Source organism: Homo sapiens, chromosome 1 (assembly GCF_000001405.40).
Source record: "Homo sapiens chromosome 1, GRCh38.p14 Primary Assembly".
In the NCBI taxonomy this organism is placed as follows: Eukaryota; Metazoa; Chordata; class Mammalia; order Primates; family Hominidae; genus Homo; species Homo sapiens.
In genome coordinates this window covers 115,081,175-115,108,422 of record NC_000001.11, presented here as the reverse complement: position 1 = coordinate 115,108,422, position 27,248 = coordinate 115,081,175, and the positions used below count along the sequence as shown (strand labels likewise).

At 42.2% G+C, this 27,248-nt stretch overlaps 1 protein-coding gene and 1 long non-coding RNA gene across 5 annotated transcripts in view, besides 1 other annotated feature; one reads left to right on the top strand and one right to left on the bottom strand.

Annotated features, from left to right (window-relative positions):
• Nucleotides 1-5,741: 5,741 nt before the first annotated feature.
• Nucleotides 5,742-8,776, bottom strand: LINC01765 (long intergenic non-protein coding RNA 1765). Its single transcript, XR_947722.3, has 2 exons — nt 8,672-8,776; nt 5,742-6,175 (listed from the first exon to the last, which is right to left on the bottom strand). It is a non-coding gene; the product is annotated as a long intergenic non-protein coding RNA 1765 (long non-coding RNA).
• Nucleotides 8,666-8,725: an enhancer, noted in NCBI's record as "active region_1554". NCBI's record gives its function as "activates an Ori minimal core promoter by ATAC-STARR-seq in GM12878 lymphoblastoid cells {active_cell/tissue: GM12878}" and the evidence as "EXISTENCE:reporter gene assay evidence [ECO:0000049][PMID:35858748]".
• TSPAN2 (tetraspanin 2) overlaps nt 18,920-27,248 on the top strand; it is a 41,493-nt gene continuing 33,164 nt past the window's right edge. For all 4 annotated transcript variants that reach the window (XM_016999996.2, NM_001308315.2, NM_001308316.2 and 1 more), the window contains exon 1: nt 18,920-19,059. In XM_016999996.2, coding sequence (XP_016855485.1) covers nt 18,991-19,059 — 69 coding nt within the window. In that variant the 5' untranslated portion in view covers nt 18,920-18,990. The remainder of the gene's footprint in view (nt 19,060-27,248) is intronic.

The following is a 27,248-nucleotide window of genomic DNA, read 5'->3' as shown; positions in this document are numbered from 1 at the left end:
AAGGTTGACCCTGAAGTGTTCCCCTCCTTGGGAGAATGAAGGAAGGGATAAGTGTGTTATCTATAGACAAGATTCTGGATGTTCAAAATGTCAAGAAAATGAGTCCATAGGATCTGCCAGCAGAAAGCTTCCAAGGCTTTAAGCAGAAAGCATCCAAGAGGGACCAGAGCCACTTCTCCTGCTGCAAGAGATCCATCCGTTGAAATAGCTATGTAGTCTCCTTCCCGAATAGGCAAGATTTGCTCAAAATGTGCTAATTTAATGCATAATTTCTCACAGGAAGAACATTGCAAATGTGGGTTACAGTATCTTAAGAAATCCACAATTCTTCAAAGAAAGCAGACATTGCAAAAGGACTGAAGTTAAACATTGCACAAGAGTTGGACATTGGGGTGGGAGGAGGAGCCTTTGCTGCCTCTGCACTGCTTAGTTTCACTGGGGTAGAGCTCAGGTTTCTTTGCAGTTTTGAGGCACTGGCCTGATAGTTTTTGAAAGTCTTATTTTTACCTTTTTTTGTGGAAGACTTCTGCCATTGCCTTCCGATGAAAACTTTTTGATGCAAAAAGAGTGGCATTGATTCCAAGGAAAGGAGTCCAGAAATGAAACTGTGATGTATAATGTGTCAAATCGTCAAAACACCACTGCCAAAATCAAGAAATGTCTATTTTTCAGCAAAGCAGCAGAAGAGATTGTGGGCACTTCTGATAGCAAGTGTCACTTCCATGTGAAGCAAGCTGATGCATTTACAGTGAGACCTTGAGCAAGTACAGGGACGTGTGAAGGAAAAGTAGCACAGATTCCTTATAAAGGAAACTCTTTCCACTGAAGCATTACCACAGTTTCCTTACTGGTGTCTCCAGCTCAGGCCTCTACTTTTTAAAATTTAATCCATTTTACACCAGCTCTCAGCTTGATCTTTCTAAAGAAGCACCACTCTTTAACACTTATGGTGCCTACCCTCCTAAATTTTCCTAAACTCCTTAGCCCAATTCCCCCAAATGTTCAGTTATTTGCATATTTCCTCAACAATTTTTGTCATATCTGTGCACCATCCATATTATTACTTCCAGTTATTGATTAAATTGCCTCATTTTCTTGTATAGTCAGAAGCAACATTATCATTTCTTGTTAAGTATTTTCAGTACATATTAATATAAACACCTAACTAATAGACTTTAGATGTCTATCATGTACCACCAAAAATCATCTAGGACATAGCCTAGGGGTACTGCACTTTGGGAATCTCGTTTCAGCTGGTCAATCAAGACCTGGCTTTACACACTGGCACTCTGGCCGATGTGGACACCACCTTTCCACACACTCACAACGGTCATTTCTATCACCTAGCTGTGCTAGAACGTGCGTCAAGGAGCAAGCCATATTGAAATCACAATAATCATTCAGGACCCAGCCTTCTGATGCCAGCCCCACTTCCTCCACCCCTCTGTGGCCTAAAGGAATCTTTCCTGTCTGAACTGTCACTGCACTTGGAGCATTCAGGACTTCTCACATAGGACTCAATGTTTGGCTCCTTGAAATATGAGGTTTTGATGGACATCTTTTTCAGAACATGTGTGGGCTTCTCAAGATCTGAGATAGTATCTAGTTATCTGCATAGGGTCTTGTGCAACTAAAATTTATTTATTAGATGAATGTGTCCTCCACTCTGTCCAGTACTCTATCTCATGAAACATCAATCTGAGAGGCCAGATGTGGTGGCACACACCTGTAATCCCAGCACTTTGGGAGGCCAAGAGGGGTGGATCACCTAAGCCCAAGAGTTGGAGATCAGCCTGGGCAATGTGGCAAAATCCTGTCTCTACAAAAAAAAAAAAAAAAAAAGCAAAAAATTAGCCCAGTGTGGTGGCGCACGCCTGTAGTCCCAGATACTCTGGAGGCTGAAGTGGGAGAATGGCTTGAGCCTGGGAGGCGGAGACTACAGCGAGCCATGATCGTGCCACAGCACCCGAGCCTGGGCGACAGAGAGATACCCTGTCTCGAAAACCAGAGCAAAACAAAGCACATAAATCTGATCATGTCATTATCTTATTCTTCACAAAATAAAGTTTTTACAACTTAGCAGCTGTGGAGACAAGATGCTTTAAATTTGGTCTCAAATGCCATTTTATCCACTACTCCCCACCTCTTCCCACCTGCCCCCAGCCACCTGCCCCTCCAAACGCACACTCCATGCTCTTGCCACACCCAGCTCCTTGGCATTCCCTGGATAAGACAGACCATCCCTTGAGTTAGTCTCCCTTCCAGCATCCCATTAAACACACTCCCTCACTGTCTATCAAATTCCAACTCAGTCCTCACACGTTAGCTAAAATGAGATGTCTTCCTGAAGCCTCACACAGCTCCCTAGGCCCCTCCTCTGTATTGCCACATCATGGTATACGTTCTTCTATTAAAGCTCTTGTTAATGATGTAACATTTTGTTTGTAACTGTCACTTCCATTAGCCCATAAGCTCCCCAGGAGCAGGTATTTACTCAATATTTTCAGTGCCTAGCACAGTGCCTGACACGTAACAATTATCCAATGTTTGGTGAATTATTAGTATGGGGTTAATAATGCAGGCTCTTGGAGCATTCAGGAGAATGTCTGCAGATCTGCAGTGATTAATATTTTTTAATTCCTGACCTGGGTTATTTGTACATTCTCTCTTTTCTCGATTAGTTTCAACAGAAGTTACTGATATGTTTGGGTATAGATTTATCATCTCGTTGTATATTTTCAATTTATCCCACTTGTTTTATATTTCTTCTGCTCCCTGTGATGGTTAATTTTATATGTCAACCTGACTGGGCTATGGAGAGCCCAGATATTTGGTCAAACATTATTGTAGCCAGACCTCTGGGATTCAAAGCCAACCACTGTCATTGTTATCTTGGGCAAGTTACTTAACTCCTCTGTGCTTAAGTTTCACAGTTTAAAAAATGGCAATAATGCATAGGGTTGTTTGGAGAGTTAATAACTATAATGAGATTAGAACAGAGCTCTGCACATTAAGTGCTCAGTAAATTCTATTATTTACATTATTCCCACAGAAAAGGTGCACATTTCTTCAGATCCTTTTGGTTTAGGGCCTTTAGTAACTATTGTAATGGTCCAGGCAAAAGATAATGAGGTGGGGATTGAAAGAGTGGTTTAAAGACAAGAAAGGTGGTAGACATCAGATAGAATCCCAGGGCTTGACAAAGCCATGTTGGGGGTAAAAAGAGAAAAGTCAAGGACTATCAAATTCTCAGGTAGGACCTGGAGAGATCATGGCAGAATCCACGACCACAGCCAGAGCCGGCTCCACCTGCACCAGGAATAAGGGAGTTGGTGCCACTGTGCTCAAAATCCAGGAGAGAGAACTGAACCCCAAGGAGAGTAGGAGCAAGAACCCAGGACAAGATGCCAAATCCAAGGGAAGCTTCAAACCACCAGGAGCTAAGGAGGCAATGAGCCTGTGACAGATGAATCTCACTCAGGGCTTACATAACTGATCTGGACATGGGGCACCCCAGGAATTCCCCACATCAGCAAGTGATGGTAAATTTGACTGACAGTTACCTATTTTCTGCTAAATTCCTAAAAGATCTTTAGAGCTGGGTGAGGAAGAAAAAATAGAGTCAATGAGATTCAATGTGAGTAGATGAAAATGAAAGTTTTTCATTATACACATCTAAGATGATGAGCTTTCATGAGTTGATAGAACCCTCATGAGAAATCTGGACACCCAGGACCTGGCCCCATCTTAAGTACTAACTAAAACATAACCTCTTTGGGCCTCAGTTTCCCCAGCTGTTTGATGAAATGATTGATCTTTGGGATCTTTTCAAGAGCTTATATTCTCTTCAAAGGAGTTTTAAAAGGCTTTCTAGTTGATTCTCTCAAGGAACCATCCCTAAACTTCACTAAGCTACTAGATATCATATGTGTCAGTCAAGTGGCATTTGCCAGAGTTCCTCAGTCAAACTTCCCCCTTAATATTATTTTTAAACCTATTAAGCCTCCATTCCATATTTGGTGGTATAACTTGTGCTTCTCCTCATCACCAGATCCTGCGGAAATTTCAGTACATCTTTCCTCATCACCTGTTGCTCTAATTTCTACAGATGCTTCTATTGCAACTAGCAGAAAGCCAACTCAAACTGGCTTGAAAAATAAAGGAAATTCATTGGTTCATATAACTGAAAGGTGTAGTAATTAGAAAATTTCAGGCATGATCTAATCAAACTGGATTTCATTCCATAATTCTCTTGGCTCTGCCCCTTCCCTTGTACACAATTTGTCTTCAGACTGGGTTCCTCGTAGTAGCAAAATGGCTGCAGCACTTCTAGGTCATACATGTGTTTAATACTGAGCAAGAGTCCAGAACCTCAGTCTGATTGAATCAATGTAGGTTATATAGCCATCCAAGGCCAGGGAAATGGGATTATGATGAATGGCTTAGGGCAATCAGGGCTTATCCCTGAAGGTGGTTGGGATCTACCCAACTCAAAACATATGGCTGCTACACCGTAAGACATGGTGGAGGTAACCAGCATTTTCACACTGCAGTTGAGGTTATAAACTCTGTTCTGCCCCTCACCTCCTGCAGTATTCTCTCTGCCCTGTAGCAACACAAGGAAGAAGGCAACTGTCCTTTCCTTTGAATCCTCCAGAGAAAACACCACTCTCACAGGCATTGTGGGTCAGATTCACAACAGGGCAGGTAGTTACAGAGCAGCACAGCTCAGCACATATTTTTCAATGTAACATCCAGCATCTTGTTTCTTAAAGGTTCCTGACTATCTCTGTAACTGGTATTTTCTCACTGACACTGTTTTAATCTTGGGGTCTAAGCTACCACTTTGTTGTTGACTTTAATCTACATTTCCCTGGTTTCTGGGATTCAGAACATTATCGTATGTTTATTGTCCAGGTGGATTTACTCTTTTGCAAAATACTCTTTCAAGTCTTTTTGCTCATTTTTATGTGCAACAGGTACATATAAAAGGTGGATGGACTTTTATATAAAATGTAAAATAATCTGTCTTTTCTTAATTCTGTGTAGGAATTTTTAAAATATTCTCGATACTGGTTTTTTGTTGAATGGTTGCAAATATCATCTTCCATTTTATGGCAAGCCTCTTTACTCTCTTAACAGTATTTTCTGATAAATGAGGATTCTTAATTTTAACATAAAAACTCTTTTTCTTTATGGTGAGCAGGTACTTTTGTGACTAGCTTAAAACACATTTGCCTATCTGGAAGTCATATAGATATTTTCCTATATTACCTTCTGATGTTAGTTTATTGCTGCCTAACAAATGTACCCAAAGCTCAATGATGGAAAACAAAAATTATTTTGTTCTCATTCAGGTGCCTGGGTCAGCTGGTCCAGGATGGGCTCACTTTATCTTGGCTGGGCTTGGCTCCAGGCTGGGTTTGGCTGGGGCAGCTTCACCAGAGAACTCTACCCATGTGTCTCTCATCTCCCTGTCAAGGTCAGTGGGCTGGATCAGGCATATCCTTCTCATGGGGATGGCATAAGTGGAAGAGGGCAAGCAGAGATGTTCAAGGTCCCTTGAGGCCTAGGCCCAGAATGGCACACTGTCACTTCCACCAAAGGACTTAAGCCAAACATAGAGTCCAGGGAGGAAAAACATAATCTGCCCCTTTTATGAGAGGAACTGCAAAGTCACCTGGGAAAGGGCATGGGCACAGGGAGGAGAGAAGAATCGGGGCCAAAAAAGCAATAAACAATATTCTCTATAAACTTTATATTAATAGTTTTACCTTCCATTTAAGTATATACCCCAAATGGAGTTGATTTTTGTGTGTGATGTGAGATTAGGGTTAATTGTTTTTACATGGGGATACCCAGTTGCCCTAGTGTCATTCTTTGAGGACATTTTCCCACAGTGCATAGCAGTGGTACTTTCATCATAAACAAACTGTCCACATACACAAAAGTCAGTCTCTGGGCTCTTTTTCCTTTTAGTTTTTTTTTTTTTTTTTCTCTCCCAGTGCCGATACTACACTGTCCTAAATACTGTAGTTGCTTATAAATCTTGATATCTAGTAGAGCGAGTTCAGCCCACTTTGTTCTTCTTCAGTGATGTTTCAGCTATTCTTGATCCTTTGAATTTCCATATAAATTTTTCAGCATCATCTTGTCACATGCTGCCATGAAAAACCTACAAAAAATATCTTTGTGAAGATTTTTTATTGTAAATGCTTTGAATCTATACATCAAATTGGAGAGAATTGACATTTTTTAAATGTCGGTTTTGCTAATTCAAACTTAGCATATCTCTCCATTCATTAACAGCTTCCTTAACATTACCCAACAAAGACTTTAATTTTTCCCTGTAAAGTTCTTACATGTCTTTTCTAGAGAATAGATACTTCTTATGCTATTTTAAGCTATGTTCTTTTAAATTTTAGTTTCTGATTCATTACTGATCTAATGAAAAGATATTCTCACATTTATTTTTATCATCAGAAAATTTAATAAGCGCTCTTATTAATTCTAGTAACCTATTATTTTATGTAGAAAATCAAAATAAACACACAATTAGATCATCTGCAAATAATGACAACTTTCTTTCTTTCTTTCTAAGCCTTATACATTTAATTTCTCTTATTGAGCTCTCTGGTACAGTGATGAGTAGAAGTAGTGATAGCAGGAATGTGTCTTGTCACCAAAATGTTATCTTGTAGCAATGAATTCCCATCTATACCTAGTTGCCTAGAATCTTTACAACAAATCGATGTTGAATTATCAAAAGATTTTTCTGTATCTACTGAGATGACCACAGATTTTTCTCCTTTATTAATGTGGTAGGTTATACTGATTGAAATGTAAATCAACATTGTATTCCTGCCCTATACAGTCATGATGTATTAGGCTTTCTATGTATTAATGCATACCTTTTTAAATTTGGGAGAGTATATAGTAGGTGTATATATTTATGGTGTACATGAGATGTTTTGATACAGGCATGCAATGTGAAATAAGCACATCATGGAGAAGGGGGTGTCCATCCCCTCAAGCATTTGTTCTTTGAGTTAGAAACGATCCAGTTACACTCTTTATTTTAAAATGTACAATTAAGTTATTATTGACTATAGTCACCCTATTGTACTATCAAATAGTAGGTCTTCTTCATTCTTTCTATATTTTTTTGTACTTATTAACTATTCCTACCTTCCCCTCCAACTCCCCACTCCCTTTCCCAGCCTCTGGTAACTATCCTCCTACTCTATAGGTCCATGAGTTCAATTGTTTTCATTTTTAGATCCCACAAATAAGTGAGATATTACTATTTTGTTGACTATTATTTTGCTGAAGATTTTTGCATCTATGTTCATAAGTGAAATTGACCTATAATTTTCCTTTTCATTACTGTCCTGTCTTTTTCAGGTTTAGGTTTCGAGATCTTGCTACAAGTCTCATAATTTTAGTATTTTTTAAATGCTCCCTCTTTTTCTACTCTCTGGTAGAGTTTGCATAAGATTGGAATTACTTCATACCTAAACGTTTGGCAGAACACACCACTGAAGGACAATCTGGGCTGGACTTTTTTGTTTTTGTGAAAAGATCATATACAATTTTTTAATGCTTACAAGGCTATTCAAACTTCTAATTTTCATTGAGTGCATTCTGATGTTACTTTTCAAAGGAATCAGTCCATTTTACCTACCTTTCAAATTTATTTGCAGTTGTTTATATTATCCTATTATTATCTAAATCTCTGCAGATCTGGAGTTATTAATCTTTTTTTTTTCCTGACATTGGTTATTTGTGCAATCTCTCTTTTTCTTGATTATTTTCAACAGAAGTTACTGATATATTTAGGTATAAATTTACCATCTCATTGTATGTTTTCAATTTAGTCTACCTGTTTTACATTTCTTTTGTTCTCTGTGATGGTTAATTTTACATGTCAACTTGACTAGGCCAGGGGGGCCCCAAATATTTGGTCAAACATTATTCTGGGTATGCCTGTGAGGGTGTAAATTGGTAGACCAAGTAAAATAGATTACCATTCTTAAAGGGCAGCTCTCATCTGCTCAGCTGAAGGCCTGAATAGGACAAAAGGGTTGACCCTTTTGCAAGTAAAAAGGAACTCCTTCCTGAGTGCTTGACCTGGGACATAGATCTTTTCCTGTTTTTGGACTTGAACTGAAACATCAGCTCTCCTTGGGTCTGGAGTCTGACAGCATTCAGACTAGAACCCCACTATTAGCTCTCCTGGGTCTCCAGCTTGCTGACTGCAGACCTCAGGACTGTCAGCCTCCATAATCACATGAGCCAACTCCTTATAATAAATCTCTTATATGAATATATAATGTCTGACTAATATAGACAATCTTGCACCTTGCTTTAGAATGTAAAGGTACTTAAGTACCTACAATTTTGCTCTCAGCCTTTGGGGCCTCTGTTAAACCTTAAAGTCAACAAGAGAAGTCACATTAAAATTCTGCCAGACTATTACTCAGTAATTTTTTAAACTCTTTCCTAATTTGGATGATTCAAATGGGGATCATCTGTGAGGCACAATAAATATTCAGACTTAGACCTCAGACCTGGATGAGTTATGTTCCTCTCCTTCCCCCAACTGGCTGCACGAGTGAAAACAAAAATGGGCTAGTTGTTCCCATAGGGTCCTATGAAAACAAACAGTTACCTTTTGAGTTTGCTCTCTTCTCTTGTTTCAAAGTCCCCTCTCTTTCTTCACTCATGTCCCCACAAGCAGGTATAAACTTTCTCTCACTAGCAAATAACAGAAACTGAAAAATGATCAAAGGAAGCTACTGCTGCCTGCATGCTGCTGGGAAAACATCGTAAAAGGAGCACCCAGCAACCTGTGACCATGGAGATGGTTTGTAATCAGCAAGCCAGGGCCCTCGCTTTCCTTCCTTCTCTGGGCATCCAATAGACGGTTGGTTTAGAAACTCTGAGCCCACAGACTATTTTCCAACAACAGCTGCATAGCAACAGGGTTCCTATGCTGTAAACCCAGCAGTCAAAAACTGCTCGTGTTTGCTTATCAAAACCAAAGTTACGATAGCAGGCACACCGGGCTTCCTTTTCTAGCAGTAGGGCAGATTTGATATCCTGAACTACCTTCTCGACTGAAACTAAGACCCTGGATAAAATATGTAAGAATGTAAAAATAAAACCACATCGTTGAGCTAGCACAAAAGGAAGAGAATCTACAAAGGCCAAAATGAAGTGAAAGCAAGAACTCGAAGTAAGCAGGCACCAAAGCCACCTTTTGCCCTGGGTTTCGGTTTCGACAGCTGCAACCGCTTGGGGTTTGTGAAGTAAAGCCTAAAATGCCATTAATATAGACAGTGTATTAGGAGACCTCACCCAAACCTGGTACCTCCTCCCAAAGGATACACCCTCAAGGGAAGAGTAGACAAGAAATAAACCCATCATGCAAAAGACGACAAAGAAATGTATACGTTTTGGACTTGGTGTTGGAGTGGGGAAAATCTCCCCTGAGACCTTGTCACCACAAGCCAGCCTTCAAATGGATTTGTTGTCTGAATTAACACTATGGTACTGCCTTGAGATGATTTGCAGAAGGCAAAGAAAATCCTCTCTGGAGGAATAAAATCTCAACTAAGGACTCAAAGAATTCCCACAAATTTCCAAGGAAAGTAAGCAGTTTACAGCTTTAAAAAAATCACATAATACACAAGGAACAAGACACTAAAATCAATACGTAGAAAAGTCCACAGGCAGCAAAGTCTGATCACAGAGAGTTCAGATACTAGGGTTATGAGACATATAATACAAAATGGTACTACAACTCCACCCTTGCTTATTTTCCTTGTTTCCAAATGCAAGCCCCCATCAGTGTCTGGTTCTCAGTCCCATTCTATTTCTGCAGAAACACTGCTCTCGCTTTTCTTCTCCTTCAACCTCTCTCTCCCCAGGCACCTTCCCCCAGGACTATGAACACATTTAAATCTTCCCCATTAAGAAAGGAAGGAAGAAAAGGAAAAAGAAAAGAAGCTTGCTTCCACTCATCTTGCTGCACCACTCACAACTAAGCCTCTTGAAAGAGCAATTGTTCAGAATGGTATTGCCTAGGTTGTCTTCCAGGGTTTCTATACTTTGGGGTTTTACATTTAAGTATTTAATCCATCTTGAGTTGATTTTTGTGTATGTTGTAAGGAAGGGGTCCAGTTTTAATCTTCTGCATATGGCTAGCCAGTTCTCCCAGCACCATTTATTGAATAGGGAGTCTTTTCCCTATTGCTTGTTTTTGTCAGGTTTGTCAAAGATCAGATAGTTGCAGGTGTGCAGCCTCTATTCTCTATTCTGTTCCATTTGTCTATGTGTCTACTGTTGTACCAATACTGTGCTGTTTTGGTTACTGTAGCCCTATAGTATAGTTGGAAGTCCGGTAATGTGATGCCTCCAGCTTAGTTATTTTTGGTTAGGGCTGTCTTGACTATTTGGGCTCTTTTTTGGTTCCATATGAATTTTAAAATAATTTTCATAGTCCTGTGGAGAATGTCAATGGTAGTTTAATAGGAATAGCATTGAATCTATAAATTGTTTTGGGCAGTATGGCCATTTTAACAATGTTGACTCTTCCCGTCCATGAACATGGAAAGTTTTCTATTTGTTTGTGTCATCTCTGCTTTCTTTGAGCAGTGTTTTATAGTTCTCCTTGTAGAGCTCTTTCACCTCCTTTGTTAGCTGTATTCCTAGGTATTTTATTTTTTGTGTGTGGCAATTGTGAACAGGATTGCATTTCTGATTTGGCTCTCGGCTTGACTGTTGTCAGTTTATAGAAAAGTTAGTGATTTTTGCCCGGGTGTGGTGGCTTATGCCTGTAGTCTCAGCACTTTGGGAAGCCAAGGCGGGTGGATCATGAGGTCAGGAGTTTGAGAGCAGCCTGACCAACATGGTGAAACCCCATCTCTACTAAAAATACAAAAAAAAAAAATTAGCCATGCGTGGTGGCGCGTGCCTGTAATCCCAGCTGCTTGGGAGCCTGAGGGAGGAGAATTGCTTGAATCTGGGAGGTGGAGTTTGCAGTGAGCCGAGGTCGTGCCATTGCACTCCAGCCTGGGTGACAGAGCAAGACTCCATCTAAAAAATAATAATAATAAAGAAAAGAAAAGTTAGTGATTTCTGCATATTGATTTTGTATCCTGACACTTGGCTGAAGTTGTTTATCAGCTTAAGGAGCTTTTGGGCTGAGACAATGGGATTTTGTATATATAGGATAATGTTGTCTGCAAACAGGAATAGTTTGACTTCCTCTGTTCCTATCTAGATGCCCTTTATTTTTTTCCTCTTGCCTGATTGCTCTGGCCAGGCCTTCCAATATTATGTTGAATAGAAGTGGTGAGAGAAGGCATCCTTGTCTTGTGCCGGTTTTCAACAGGAATGCTTCCAGCTTTTTCCCATTCAGTATGATTTTGGCTGTGGGTTTGTCATGGATGGCTCTTATTATTTGGAGGTATGTTCCTTCAATACCCAGTTTCAATACCTACAGAGTGGGAGAAAATGTTTGCAATCTATGTGTCTGACAAAGGTCTCATATCCAGCATCTATAAAGAAGTTAAACAAATTTACAAGAAAAAAACAAACAACCCCATTAAAAAGTGAGTAAAGGACACGAACAGACAGTTTTCAAAAGAAGACATACATGCAGCCGACAAGCATATGAAAAAATACTTAACATCACTGATCATGAGAGAAGTGCAAATCAAAACCACAATGACATACCATCTCACACCAGTCAGAATGGTTATTATTAAGAAGTCAAAAAATAACACATGCTGGCAAGGTTGCAGAGAAAAAAGAACATTTATATACTGTCGGTGGGAGTGTAAATTAGTTCAACCATCATGGAAGGCAATGTGGTGATTCTTCAAAGAACTAAAAACAGGAATATCATTTGACCCAGCAATCTCACTACTGGGTATATCCCGAGGGAATATAAATCATTCTATTATAAAGACACAAGCAAGCGTATGTTCATTGTAGCACTCTTCACAATAGCAAAGACATACAATCAACCTAAATGTCCATCAATGGTGGACTGGATAAAGAAAATGTGGTACATACACACCATGGAATACTATGCAGCCATAAAAAGAACAAGATTATGTCCCTTGCAGGGACATGGATGGAGCTGGAGGGCATTATCCTTAGCAAACTAATGCAGGAAGAGGAAACCAAATACCACATGTTCTCAATTATAAGCTAAATGATGAGAACACATGGACACACAGGGGAGAACAACACACTCTGGGGCCTATAGGAAGGTGGAAGGTGGGAGGAGGGAGAGGATCAGGAAAAATAACTAATGGATACTGGGCTTAATACCTGGGTGACAAAACAATCTGTACAAATAAACCCAAGGCACAAGTTTACCTATATCACAAATCTGCACGTGTACCCATGAACTTAAAATAAAAGTTAAAAAAAAAGCACATTTCTCACTTAAAAAAGAGAACAATTGTTATGACTTCCTCACTGCTCATTCCCTCCTAAGTTGTGGCCCAGCTTACCCAGTCCACCCCTACTCTTCTGCAGTGGCTGTTACTGAGGTTGTCAGTGTCCTAAGGTACTAGGTCACCACATGCAATGCTCTCTTCTCTCACCTCCTGCTGCTGAGGCATTTTGCACTGTGGACACTGCCTCCATCGAGAAACTCCTCACTCAGCTTCTGTGACGCCACTTTTTTCTGATTTTTCTCCTATGTCTCTGGTCATTTCTTACCAGTCTCCTTTAAGTGTCACATCTCTTCTGCCCACATCTTAAAATGTTGTTGCTCTAAAGTTTCTGTTCTCAACCCTTTTCACACTCTTCCTGGGCATATCATCCATTCTCATGGCTTAAGACAGCCATATATCTCTGAGGCATGCATGTCCTGGGGATACAAGAACTCTTTCCAGAGGTGCTCCAACATGAACAGTTTTAAGAGAATCAGTTTCCCACTCATTAACTTCCAGGTGTATTCCTTCCTAGAATCAATCTGCCTGGGAATATGCCTACAATCAAGATATCTTCCACAAGCTACCGCTCACCCACTCTGAATTGGGTATATTTCCCCAGGTTGTAGAAATCTCTTGGTCACCAATTTGCAAACTTGCTGTAGGTGCTGAGAAAGTAGATAACTATAATATGGGTAATAAATGCCTTTGTAAGTTAGAAGGGTTCCAACTCTATGCTTTCAATAAAATTGAAGAAAGGGCCAGATGAGGTGGCTCACATCTGTAATCCCAGCACTTTGGGAGGCTGAGGCAGGGGGATCACTTGAAACCAGCCTAGGCAACATGGTGAAACCCCATTTCTACCAAAAAAAAATACAAAAATTAGCCAGGTGTGGTGGTACATGGCTCCCAGCTACTTGGGAGGCTGAGGTGGGAGGATCACTTAAGCCTGGGAGGCAGAGAGGTTGCAGTGAGTTTTGTCATGCCACTGCACTCCAGCCTGGGTAACAGAGTGAGACTCTTTCTCAAAAAAAAAAAATTATAATAAAAAAATAAAATTGAAGAAAGGCCAAATGGAATTTTCAGCTGATTTAATCATTAAAAATAGTTTAATAGCAAGAGTGGGAGCAAGGGCGGGAGGTGCCATGTTCTTTTAAACAACCAGATCTCACAGTGAACTCAGAGCAAGAACTCACTCATTATAGGGAGAATGCCATCCAGCCATTTATGAGGGATCCACTCCCATGATCCATACCTCCCACTAGGTCCCCCCTCCAACACTGGGAATTACCATATCAGCATGTATCAGTGTGTGAATTGGGGCACATAATTCAGAGGGGCTTTAAAGAATTGATTGTCATTGCTATAAAAACATCTTCCATCTTTATCTACTTATTTGTCTAAACAGAGTTTTTCAACATTAATATCAAAACAATGAAAAATATTAAGGGAATTTATGGTCAGCTTTGTGGTTCTAGCAATAATATTCGTTCATGGATATATGAACTAGTAGAAAAAAAAATACCAACCCCATCAATATCATTAAGAGATGCATTTCCAGCAATATTTTACCTTTAAGTTTAGTGACTGTTTATTTAAAACTATATTTTAAATTTAGTATACAATTTTAACCACTTGGATACCAAAAATAATTTTAACAGTAACTTAATCTAGAAGAAGTTTGTCCAACCCGTGGCGGATGGTTTTGAATGCTGCCCAACAAAAATGCATAAACTTTCTTAAAACATTATGAGTATTTTGTGATTTTTTATCTCATCAGCTATCATTAATGCTAGTGTATTTTATGTGTGTCCCAAGACAATTATTCTTCTAATGTGGCCCAAGTAAGCCAAAAGATTGGACACCTCCGATCTAGAAGAACTTAGTTAACATTTACAGCCTTATGGTCTCAGGGGAAAAGTTTAATTTCTTTTAATAAACATAGTAAATTTTGTTCAGACAAGTATAAAAGGACATTCAAGAAAAATCATTCAAGCATAAACATGCATTAATTTAGGATGACATTTTGTAAAACGGAAATACAAGTTCAAGGAGCAAAAGGAAAGATTAAAATTTTCACCCTATTAAAGAGGAGCTTGCTCATGTATTTTTAATTATTTATTTATTTATTTATTTTTGAGACATGGTCTCATTCTGCCACCTAGGATGGAGTGCAATGGTGCAATCTCAGCTCACAACAGCCTAGACCTCCCACGCTCAAGTGACCCTCCCACTTCAGCCTCTGGAGTAGCTGGGACTACAGCGAGCACCACCACACCCTGCTAATTTTTTTCATTTGTTTTGTAGAGATAGAGCCTCACTATGTTGCTCAGGTGGTCTCAAACTCCTGGACTCAAGTGATCCTCCTGCCTTGGCCTCTCAAAGTGCTGAGATTACAGGCGTGAGCCATCATTCCTGGCCTTGTTTATGTATTTTTTAATCGATGATAATAGGTAGCAGATCATACTGGCATTCAGTTTCTACTGGATGTATTAAAATGAGTAATGTGGCCATTTGATTTTAAAAGTCAATATTTAAGACACACCAGAAATGACATCTCTGAAAATATTCAAACTTATAATAAATAATTTTACCTGCAACTTAAAAATGTGTGAGGGTAATACTATACAATGCCATTTATATGAAGGTTTAAAACAGGCAAGTGTAATCTATAGTGAAAGAAAATCAGAACAGTGTTTGCCTTTAGGAGGGATGTGGGCATAGATTGACTGGGAAGGGTTATATGAAAGCCTGAAAGCTTCCTGGGGTGACAGTAATATTCTATATCTTAATAGGATTCGGGGTTAGAAAGGCAAAAGCATTGTCAAGAATTATTAAATAATATACTTAAAATGTGTACATTTCATTGGGGTAAATTTTAGAAAAATAGTAAATAGATATTTGAACTCTAGGTAATGTTATGCATGCTCAAGAGTTTAGGAGTGAAACATACTGCCTACAATTTATTTGGAAATAAATAAAAAAAAATAGATTGAGAAATGGACAGATGTATAGATAAGTAATGCAACCAAAGCAAAATGTTTATTGTAGCATCTAGATGGTGAGTATATGGTGCTCCTTGCCCAACTATTTCAAATTTTTTGTACGTTTGAAAATATTCATAATAAAATATTGGGAAAAAATGCAAGAGAAAATATTTTTGTAACTATTTTAGGGCATGTGTGGGCAACAGTTTTAAGACCACTGGCTTCTATTTATCACCATTTGCTGAAGAATCTTTACCCTAAACTTACCATCCAAACCTTTCTCCAGAATCCAATCATATTTCCACATCATCTGGATTTCCCACCATATCTAAAACTCAGCAGATCCAAAAATGAATGTATTGTCTTCCCTCTACCAGTCAGGAATATCTTTAGCTACATGTAACAACACAAAGTCAAACAAAAAGAGGGTTATTTTTCCTATATAATAAGAAATGTGGAGTTAGGTAGCTGCTGGTATTGGTTCAGCAGTTCCACAATGTCCTAGCTGGAAGGTCTGCAATTGTCTTGCCCTTTCTTCATAGTCACAAAATGTTCTAGCACTTCAAGCATCATGTCTGAGTTCAAGACAGGAAAAAGAGAAAAGGGAGCAATGCCAGTGACAGTTTAAAGGCTAACTTCCTTATTATGTCATTTAATGTAGCCCTGTACTTTCTTATAGTAATATACCCTTGAAAATGTATGGAATGCCTTTCAGGCACAATACATACATATATGTTGATGATGGCAATTCCTCATGTTGGAAGTGGGACCTTGTGTGAGGTATTGGATCGGAGTGGATCCTTCATGAATGGCTGGATGCCATCCTCCCTATAATGAGTGAGTTCTTGCTCTGAGTTCACATGTGATATCTGGTTGTTTAAAAGAGTGTGGAACTCCCCACTTCTTTTGCTCCCACTCTCGCTGTGTACACACTGGCTCCCTGTGACCTTCCACCACAACTGAAAGCTTCCTGAGGCCTCACCAGAAGCAGATGTCAGCACTATGCTTCCTGTACAGCCTGCATAACTGTGAGCCAATTAAATCTCTTTTCTTTAGAGATTACCCAGTCTCAGGTACTACTTTGTAGCAACACAAGAATGGACTAACACACATGCGTCCACACACATACACATACATGTACACAAAAACCTAAACCTCAATTGGCTTCAGAAATGGCTAACTCAGTTATGGCGTAATATCACCTATGACTCTGGTTTTTTCAACTTCCTGCTTTGCTGTTTTCAATGTTGGATCTCTCCTCAGGCTGGTATGAAGATGGATATAGCAACTCTATGTATACCATCCAGATCCAACAGCTTCAAGAGGAAGAAGACCATCTGGCCCCTCAGTAGACACCACTCCCATCCCATTAGTCAGGATGCTTGTCAATTTGTTTCCTGAACTAACTACAAGGGAAATGGGATTACCTTCGCCTATTCCTCTCAAGGGTCAGCTTCCCTTAAGACATACAACTTTGTGAAAGGGCGACTGGGCAAGTCTATACTAAAGATCTGAAACTGTTATGTTGGACAGGCAACCACCATCTGTCTCTAATACATGTGTGCTAAAATCGTAGCATGAAAAAAACAAACAATAGATGTATATGTTACAATAGGGGTTCTCTTCCCTCTATATAATCTCTAGACATATTTTGTCTTAGAGATGTAAAATTCAACGATATATTTAAAGTATAATATCATTGTTCATTCAGTTGATTTACTGAACGCCTTCTATGTACCAGACACTACTCTTTAACTTAGTTCTTTTCCTTTATACTAAAACAGAGGTGACAGATATAGAACTATAAGTGTTTGATTGAAGCTAATGATTCACTTCTCTCTGCATACCTAATGACTTCCATCTTTGTCTTTATTTCATTGTTGGAGACATGTTTATTACTAGAATCAGCACTTTCATTTTTCTGTCTTTGACTCGTTTTTATAAATGAGTCGATATTCAAACAAATGTCCAAAGACACAGAGGTAGGCAAAGATGGCAACATGGTAGAAACTGAATGGTTGACTGATAAGAGTGTGATACAATAATACTAACCCTTATGCAGTACTTAATCTGTGCCAGGCACTGTTCTAGGCACTTCACAAATACTAACTCATTTATCTTCACAACTCTATGAGGGGAGTACTATTACCTCCATGTTGCACGTGGGGACACTCGGGGCCAATGACAGTTTGGCACATTGGTCAGCCGACTGAAAGCTGTGATTTGGCTCCTGCCTTCCTGACTCACTCTGCCCCCACCAGGCTTCACTCGGGCTAACTGCGGTTCTCAGAACTCCCTTGGAGGCCTTGTTCTCTCCAGCTCTGTGCTTTTGCGCATGCTGTCTTCCTGGACTGATCTTTTCCGCCTGGGCTCCGTCTTCTAGACCAGATCAGGCCCCTCTCCTTAGCAATGCCTTTTCTGGTTAAGGCAGTCAGGCCAGGCACACCTGTCTAGCACCCAGCCCTTCTCTCCTCACCCTATTTGCTTACAGATCTGTCTCCAACACCAGAGACTGTGGTTCTGGGCCTGGCTGTCTCCTCATTGTTGAGTCCCTGGGGCTTGCTACTATGTCTGGCCTATAATAGGCACTCAAAGTTTTGCTGAATTTATGCATAAGCTCTCCGAATTTTGCTTTCTTGTCTCCCCCATACTGTCTGACACCACATATTGTAGACACTTAGTCAATGGAAGTGGGAGTCTGATTTTCCTGCCAACAGCCTAACTTAATAAAAACAAAGCAAAACAAAAACCGCCCCCTTCCCCTTTCTCCCATCTCCACATCATAATTAAGATCCCGAAAATTTGGGATCCTTCCAAGCCCTCCGATCAGTGGAACCCGGCAGGACATGAGAAGTCAGACTCCCTCCACTGGCCGGCTGGGTTGAGGGCAGCCCACAGGACTCAGGGCGCCGCCTCCCGCACCCTCTCTCAGTTCTTGCCTATTAAGGTAAGAGTCCCCCGAGGAGGGGGGAGGGGCCGGAGGGAGGGTCCCCTAGAAGCTGCTTGTGTGCTTGCTCCGCGCCGCGGAGCCGCAGCCCTGGACACTCAGTCAGGTGCCCCGCGACTGGTCCTGCCAGCTTCGGGGCAACCTCCGACCCCACTTAGCTCTTCTACCCGAGGTCACCTTCCTAGATTTCCATAGCCACGAGACCAAGTGCTTATCCCTCAAGCATCGCCCGGGCCTCAAACCGGTCTCCGCACAGGGCGCTGATTAAATGGGTCCCCAGTCCCCGGTGGGCGCTCCCGCCCTGCAGGTGCTCCGATAGCCGGCGGCGGTGCGCCCACTGGAGGGAAGGAAGGTGGTCCCTGGGTCCGGGAGAAGAGCGAACGTGCTCCCTCGGGCTGCTCGATCTCCACCCGCTGGCGCCCCCACCCGTCGCCAGCCACGCCGCTTGGGGTCCACGCGCCCCTCCCCGCCGGGCCCCGCCCCGCCCCCCGGAGGCCCCGCCCCGGTCCTCCCCGCTCCGCCCCCTCCCCGCCGGAGCCTGCCGCTCCCCGCGCTCGTAGCGCGGGCCTGGGGACTGGGGATCCCGCCGCCGGGCCGCAGCATGGGGCGCTTCCGCGGGGGCCTGCGGTGCATCAAGTACCTGCTGCTTGGCTTCAACCTGCTCTTCTGGGTGAGACCAGGAGCCGGGAGGGCCGGTCAGGGCAGGGGGCCGGGTGGCGGGCGCGGGGCCGGGGTCCCCGAGCTGCTGACTGCGGCGTCCGAGTCGCGCTCGTGGGGAGGGCTGGGTGCTCAAACGCGGAGGCGAGGAGAAGGCAAACAAAGAGGGAGGGGAGGGATGGAAGGGAGAGAACGGGAAGACAGAAGGTTGATCAATGAGAAATGGTGAGAAGGGGAGAGACACCGTGTGGCTCTTTCCTGGAAGGAACCCCCACCTGCCTTGGTTTTTATCTCCCAGCTAGTGACCCCAGGTGCGGGGACCCAGCCTCTCCTCACCTCCGGAGGACTTGGGTCCCTGTTCCCCTCCAGTCTCCCGTGCACACACCCCCTTTTCACTCTGCCTACCAGCTGGAACCAGGGCCTGGCCAGGGTGATGGGAGAGAAACCCCTGCCCTGGGGCTGCCTGGGGTGGTGCTCCATTCGAGTGTGTGGACACTGTACCTGGCTGTGATGGTTTTGTTTAGGAAATTGGAGATAGGAGTGAAAATTGTGGTGGGGGGGCGTCGTCCTTTTTCTGGGCATCAGGGTAAGAGTACCCCTGGGTGAGAGGAGGTGGTGGGTTCTCTTCTGAGAAGGGGATGGGGAATGGAAGGGCTTCTAAAGGGCAGCAGCAGCTCTCCACAACCCCCAGCCGCAGCCTCTGCTAAATACTAATTCTCCCAGAGATGATCTCATTCAACTTTGCAGGGTTTGATTGAACTGACAGCGTTCCCAGGATTCATGGTTCACAGAGAGATAGGATCTTGACCCTTGTCTCCTATATTATCGAGACAGGGATACAGCTAGACCAGACCTACATCCCTGGATACCCTGTCCCAGGGCCTGCAGGACTGTGAGACAAGGTCTGAAAATTGTCTTTTCTGCACATTTCCTCTTGGGCTTTCTTAAGAGAATGTCAGCCAGTGTAACTGCTCAGCTAGACCCTGAGGGGAAACATTGGATAAAGAGGTTTGAGAGCAGCCAGGGCCTGGGTGCTTTGAAACTACCAGGTTGGAGGAGGTGGCTGTCCTATCTGCTCTGGGGGACGTTGTCTTCCCATGATTGCAACTAATTAATTATTGAATGATGGGCTCCTCTTTTGTCTGTCAATCCATTAGCCCAGATGCCTGGGTGACTTCAGCAACTCCAAGCTCTTCAGTATCCTTCAGCAGTGGAAGGTGTGAAGGAGGTACCTCCTCGACATCCCCTGAACTTTAAAGAGACACATGGCCTTTGTACACGTGGGGATTTACATCAAGCATACTATAGGGAGAGGCGTTTCTGAAGACCCTTTATGTTGTATTTTTTAGGAATCTGGCTTAATTTCAGAAGCTGTTAATTATAGATGTCACGCCACAGTGACAACCTTCATTCTCACTGCTTATGAATTCAAAGCCTTATGAAGTTTTAAGCCTGAGGAGGAATTCTTAAGCTGGGTTCAGTGCTTATTTAGTGGCTGATATTGTACCAGCCTTTCCAGTGATAGCTGGAAGGATTCATTGAATGTTTTCAATGTGTCAGGGACAGTGCTAAGCATATTACTTTCATTATTACACATAATCCTCACAAGAGTCCTGATATACATATACTATTATTATCCCCATTTTTTACAGATGAGGAAACAGGCTCAAATTGGTTAAGTCACCTAAGATCACACAGCTAGTGAGTGGCAGGGATGGTATTCAAACTCAGCCTACCTTCTCTTTTTTTTTTTTTTTTTTTGAGACGGAGTCTCACTCTGTAGCCCAGGCTGGAGTGCAGTGGCCCGATCTCCACTCACTGCAAGCTCCACCTCCCAGATGCACGCCATTCTCCTGCCTCAGCCGCCCAAATAGCTGGGACTACAAGCACCCTCCGCCACGTCTGGCTAGTTTTTTTGTATTTTTAGTACAGACGGGATTTTACCGTGTTAGCCAGGATGGTCTCCATCTTCTGACCTCATGATCTGCCTGCCTCAGCCTCCCAAAGTGCTGAGATTACAGGCGTGAGCCACCGCGCCTGGCCGCCTACCTTCTCTTAAGCACTGTGGTACATTCAATTAACCAGTGGTTCTCAAAAGTGGTTCCTGGGCCAGCAGCATCAGCATATCCTGGGAATTTGTCAGAAATACAAATTCTCAGGCCGGGCACAGTGGCTCATGCCTGTAATCCCAGCACTTTAGGAGGCCAAGGCAGGCGGATCACCTGAGGTCAGGAGTTCGAGACCAGCCTGGCCAACATGATGAAACCTCATCTCTACTAAAGTACAAAAATTAGCCGGGCATGGTGGTGGGTGCCTGTAATCCCAGCTACTTGGGAGGCTGAAGCAGAAGAATCTCTTGAACCCGGGAGGCAGAGGTTGCAGTGAGCTGAGATGGTGCCACATTGCACTCCAGCCTGGGCAACAAGAGCGAAACTCCATCTCAAAAACAAACAAACAAACAAACAAAATTCTCAGCTCATCCCAGACTTGCTGAATCAGAAACTCTGGGGGTAGGATCCAGCAATCTAATTTAACAAGCCATTCACATAATTCTGATCCATGCTCAAATTTGAGACCCATTCTGTTAAACAATGATTAAACAAATAATAATTTATAAATATAAACACAGTTCCCTAAGCTGCTCATCTCATTGAGGAAACGAGACCAGTGGATATGGAACAACACAAAAATAAGACAGTGTGGAATCAAGTGACAAGTTTCACACTGTTGACCGTAAGCACAGTAAGGAAAGGAAGTAGGAGCAGTGCAGTTTTAAGTGCTTGAATGTGTTAACCAGTGAGGTTAGATCCGACCTTCTCTATATGTGATCTAAGTAAGGAGTTTAGAGAAAGGATCACAGTCATGATGAGGAGCCAGAAAAGTTCTCCTTAAGAAGGAGCTATTCGAGCTAAACCTGGAAGGACTGGTAGAATGGAGCTGGGCAAAGCGAGGGGGTGACGCACCATCCACCAGCAGAGGAGCAGAGCAAGGGGGAGTGTGCGCCACCATCTGACTGTCGAAGCCATCAGGCTGGAGTGCAGAGATCCCAAGCAGGGCGTGCCTGCACAAACAGGGTGTACTTGAGCAAGTTATTGTTACTTCTAGGCTTGTTTTCTCATCTGTGCTATTGGAGTAACAGAAATATTGAGAGGATTAAGAGGGAATATATAAAGTATGTGACCTCAACTTCCTATGAGCCTAGGACATAGTAAATGCTCAAAAATATTAATTATTATTTTTGTTATCGGCACATAGGAAGCATTCAATAAATGTTAGCTCTCTTTCTCCTGATTCCTTTCTTGGTGGGGAATAGTATATAAGTTTGCCAAGTGACTTGCCATTTGTCTTCATTTGAGGATAACTACACCTTATCTTGTCAATTTGTACTTGTGGATTTTCCCCACTAGAACTTAAAACACTCTGAGAGCAGGAATTTTGTTTTTTCTGTTTTGCTCATAGCTGTATCCCCAGTGCTAGAATAGTGCCTAGCATATAGAAGGCATGCAGTAGGACATGAAGGACCTTCCTCTCCCCCAGTTTCATGGGGGGTGGGGGTGGAGGCAGCAACTAGAGCGAAGAGGCAACTGAAACAGGCACCTCATGACTTAAGGGAAAGTGTGGGATAAAGTATCTAGATATCTGCCTTCACTGTAACTGAGGGAACCTGATTCCAGAAAAGCCCCACTCAAGTTTCTAAAGTTGTTTTTTTGTGGTTGGAGGGCTTCGTGGGAAGTTTGGGAAAGGGGTGGGGGATAGTTTTCCTAGAAGGCCAGACTTTAGCTGTGACTGAAGTATAAATTTACACACACCCTTAGAAGCTCATGTGCCTGCCCCTCGGAGTTACGGGGTTCCTTGGGTGACAGCACTTCCTTCCAATCAGAACCTCGCCAGAAGTAAGCATAGAGGTGGGACAGGTTCTGTTTGGTGATCTGCGATTTAACAGATCAATTTGCAGCCTCCTCTGGCAGCTTGCTTTAAGTTTCCCTAGGCTGTGCTCCTGGTTTCATAAACATACAACCAGGCCCTGCCAGAGCCAGCACAGTATTCCCTGGCCCAGGGCCGCTGACTGTACTCACCACTGAATTTTTAAAAACAAAATAAAGCCTAGCCATTAACCCCACTACATTAATTTCTCTTATCGTGGTTGATGTCAAATGTGAAACCCCTCCCAACATCTGTCATGTCTAAATTCAGACCTGCGATCAGATAGCACAGCATATTCCTGTGCCTTTCATTGAAATCACCTTTTTTTTTCCTACGTTGCATAGCAATATAAATAAAACACTACACCCCCACCAAGCCGCATATGTTGGCTTAAAGGAAAACCTGGGCGCTGTTTATTCCTTGGTTTATTGTTGTATGGTCAGTGTTTTCCTATCATTGTGCTGCACTAGCTGCTCAGCGTTACTGACCCACAGGAAGCAGAGCTGTTCATTGTTGAAAAGCAGATTCCATATATGGCAAGTCTGAAGTTGCCCTCCTTTCCTTCTCACCATTATTAATACAGCTTTGGGTTTTCACTTGGGGATGCCTAACAGGTACATTTAAGAAAGACAGTGTCTTGCAGGCTTGGGAGTCAAAGAAGTTTGACTCACATGAATCTCATAGAGGTCACCTTCCACTCTTTCCCAAACTTATTTCAAACAGTAACTTCAGAGCAATCACCTGTCAGAGACATTGGTTTAGGAAAAAATACCTAAAGAAAGTATTCTTTGGAGACCAGCCCATAAGGCAGATAGGAATGTTCTCAGCCTCGCTGGAGGAGAATCTTCATTTCTGATTTTTGTCAAGGTGGAAAGAGAGTACCAGGGGCCAGTGTCCCCTAGTGTGGACCTAGAATTGCTAGGAGGAACAGATAGCCTACAAGAGGGGACAGTCTGAAGAAGCCACAGCTATGGTGCCAGGGTTCCGGTAGACCTCGGACAGACCTATGCAGCGTGGCAGTTCAAATCCAGGAATCCAAAACCTGGGCAGTGGATACTGACATCATACTGCCTGACTCTATTCCTGCCTCCACTCTTTACTACCTAGGGGACTTTGGGCAAGTTGTTTAACCTCTTTGAGCCTCCATTTTCTCATCTGTATAATGGACATAATAAACTACTAATATCTGTGAACTTTGTGCACATAAAATGAGTTAATATATGTAAGGTTATAAGTATGGTTCATGCATACAGTAAATAATAACATATCAGTAATAGTTGTTTTTAAATACTAGAAGTACAAATGGGAAAGTAGAATCTAGAATCCAAGAGGTTCATAAAGTCACAACAAAGCAGGCAGGTGTTTTACATCCAGCTAAGCAAGCAAGGTAGCAAGAGGCTTGGAGTTTATCAAGGGCATGGAGTCAAAAGGAGAGATCACTTCCTCCACCGTTCCCTGCCAAGTGCTGGGAATTCAAAGATGATTAAGACACAGCCCTTGATCTTGAGGCACTCATGCCTTTATTTAGCCTCCATTTTGCCTTTGATTAGAATTTATTCCCTGTTTAGTCTTTGCTCCTTGAGGGCAGGGACTGTGTCCTTTTGGCATCCCCTTTCTCCCAATCCCTCAGTACCTAATAGAGTTAAGCATGGCTCCAGCTAAGGTAGTTGTGTGCACTGACCCTGGAGCAGGATCTGTTTATTTCCTTTCCCACTTCTGTGCTACTAAGTGGAGGCCAAGGAAAAGCAATGGGAAAACCTTTGGTGATCAGTGCCTCTCAAACTTTAACGTGCGTACAGATCACATAGGGAGCTTATTCAGCTTTATTCGGATTCAGTGGGTCTGCATTTCTAACAAGCTCCCAGGTGATGCTCGTGTTGCTGGTCTGGGAACATGCTTTGAGAACCCCTGTTTTAGATGTGGCCTGAAGAGGTCAGAGATTCAGCAGTGGCACTTGTTTCTGACTGAAGCAGGGTGTGCCCTGCTTCTTGGCTTACTCACTTGGCTTGTTTTTGGCAGTTCTTTTAATTTCAGTTACCACTTTACCTTTATTAAGTCTCTTTTTTACGCTAATACTTGATGCTTTCTGGAATTACCGGGAGGCCACCTGTCCATTGTTCATTGCATTTCACCTTGTTGTTCTAGAACATCAGCCATGAAGTGTCTTTGGGTCTCCAACCATGTGTGACAAAAGAGAACGTAACCTCTATCCCCCAACCTTGACAGTTAATATCGCGAAGCTGCTCCCTTAAAACAAGTGATGCTATACTGAGCACTGAAACAAATCATGTCATGGTTGCTAAGGAATTAAAGAGAGAATGCTGCCAGCAAGATGGAAATACCAGATGGGCTGGGAGCACATCTTACAGATGAATTAACTCGGGTTACCTTGGCCTGCCTTTTTCATCCTCTTTGAATTTGATTGGGAACAAAAATAACAATGCTTCAGTTTACGAAGTGCTTTCATATGCGTTATCCCACCTGATCATGAATCACAACAATCTCACGAAATAGTGTAATTATTCCCATTTTACAGTTGTGAAAGCTGAAAGTCAGGCACAGTAGGTGGTATGTCCCAGGTCTTCTGACTTTAAACCCCATGCTTTTTTCATTGTTTTAATTTATTGGAACGTGTAGAATATAAGGTATAAGAAATGCTGCTAACTTGGAAAATCTGAAGCCTGTGATCAGGGAGATTATATTCAGTGTCAGATTTAGTCTTGATGCATTCCAGAAACAGGTACAAAGAGATGCCTAAAAATACTAAGGCATATGGGAGAAGAAGCAGGAAGGAGAGAGGTTGGGAACACTGCTGATCAGTTTCAGGCAGAGGAAAAGTAACATGGAAATTGAGAAAGGGTATATATCAAGAGACAGTTTAAAAAGTTAATTTCAGGAGCAAAAACTTGAAGAATAGTAAGCACTATATAAATGTACACTATGTGCCAGCTGCTTTCCTAAGCATTTATTAACTAATTTAATCCTCACAACAACCCTATGAAATAGTAGCAGTTATCATCCCCAGTTTACATATGAGAAAACAGAGGTCTGAAGCATTGAAGAGACTTGAGAGCTGGCCAGTGGCAGAGCTGTGTCTCTATGTGTGTCCCCAGAGTCTGTACTCATAACCACTCCAAGTCTACAGACTATCGGAGAGGAAGGTTGAAGCTCTGACAAACTTGTGAATTCTAGACCTGCACTGTCCAATGCGGCGACTATGCTACTGATCACATGTAGCTATTTAAATTAATTAAAACTAAATAAAATGTAACCTTCATTTTCTCAGTCCCACTAGCTACATTTCAGAGCTCCATAGCCATAGGTGCCTAGTGGCCACAACGCTGGACAGCAGAGATATAGGACATTTACATCATTGGAGAAAGGTCTTCTTGACAGCCCTAGCCTAAATATAGTTATTCTTTCACTCATAAATATATCTATTCATATTTTTCTCTTATGGGGTCTTAAAAACATTAAAGAGAGGAGACATAGTTTCCACAAAAGGCTACTGACTTTCTAGTATAGAAGATTTAGAAAACCGAAAGGAATTCCAGCTGTCATGGAAAGAGGGAGTGTGGATCTAAAATAAAAATTAGTAGAGGACGGCTGCAGCAAACCACATTATTGGAACCATGGGAGCGATGTTTCCTATCTTGAAGATTAAGCTTTTGGTTTGAAGGTAACATTAGCAAGTCTACCAACATAATAGCACAAAGTGTGAGGCACTTACTGTTCTCAGTGTGTAACATGAACTCATTTAGTCTCTTTAGGAGGCACTATTATTACCTTCACTTTGCAGATGAGGAAGCTGGGGTTAGAGAGGTTAAGTGGCTTGCCCAAGATTATAGGACCAGTAAGTGCCAGAGTCTGATTCAAACCCAAATGCGTAGAACCCCCATTTTTATCCACTACAACTCCTTTACACCTACGTACCGTATGCACGCATGTGTTTATTACCCTAAGGGCATCATTATATATTCTGAACACCCAGAAGAGGTGAATTTCTAGAAGAACAGTTGGCAGATATTCCAGGATGTGTACCAAGCTCTGTCCTCCACATCGTAATGGTGATTGGGAAAGAGTCAGCTTATTAACAGGGGTGGCAGAGCAAGGCTGAGCAGGGCCAGGGGTGCATTGGAAGTTGCTGTCACTCATCCAGGAAGCCGACTTTGTCTCCCTGCTCCCGCCAGAGTCTATCTAGCCTTCTGTGAATGGACCAGTGCTGCACCTTCCTGACCTCAAACAGGTCCTGGTAAAATGGCTTTTAAGAAAAATCTC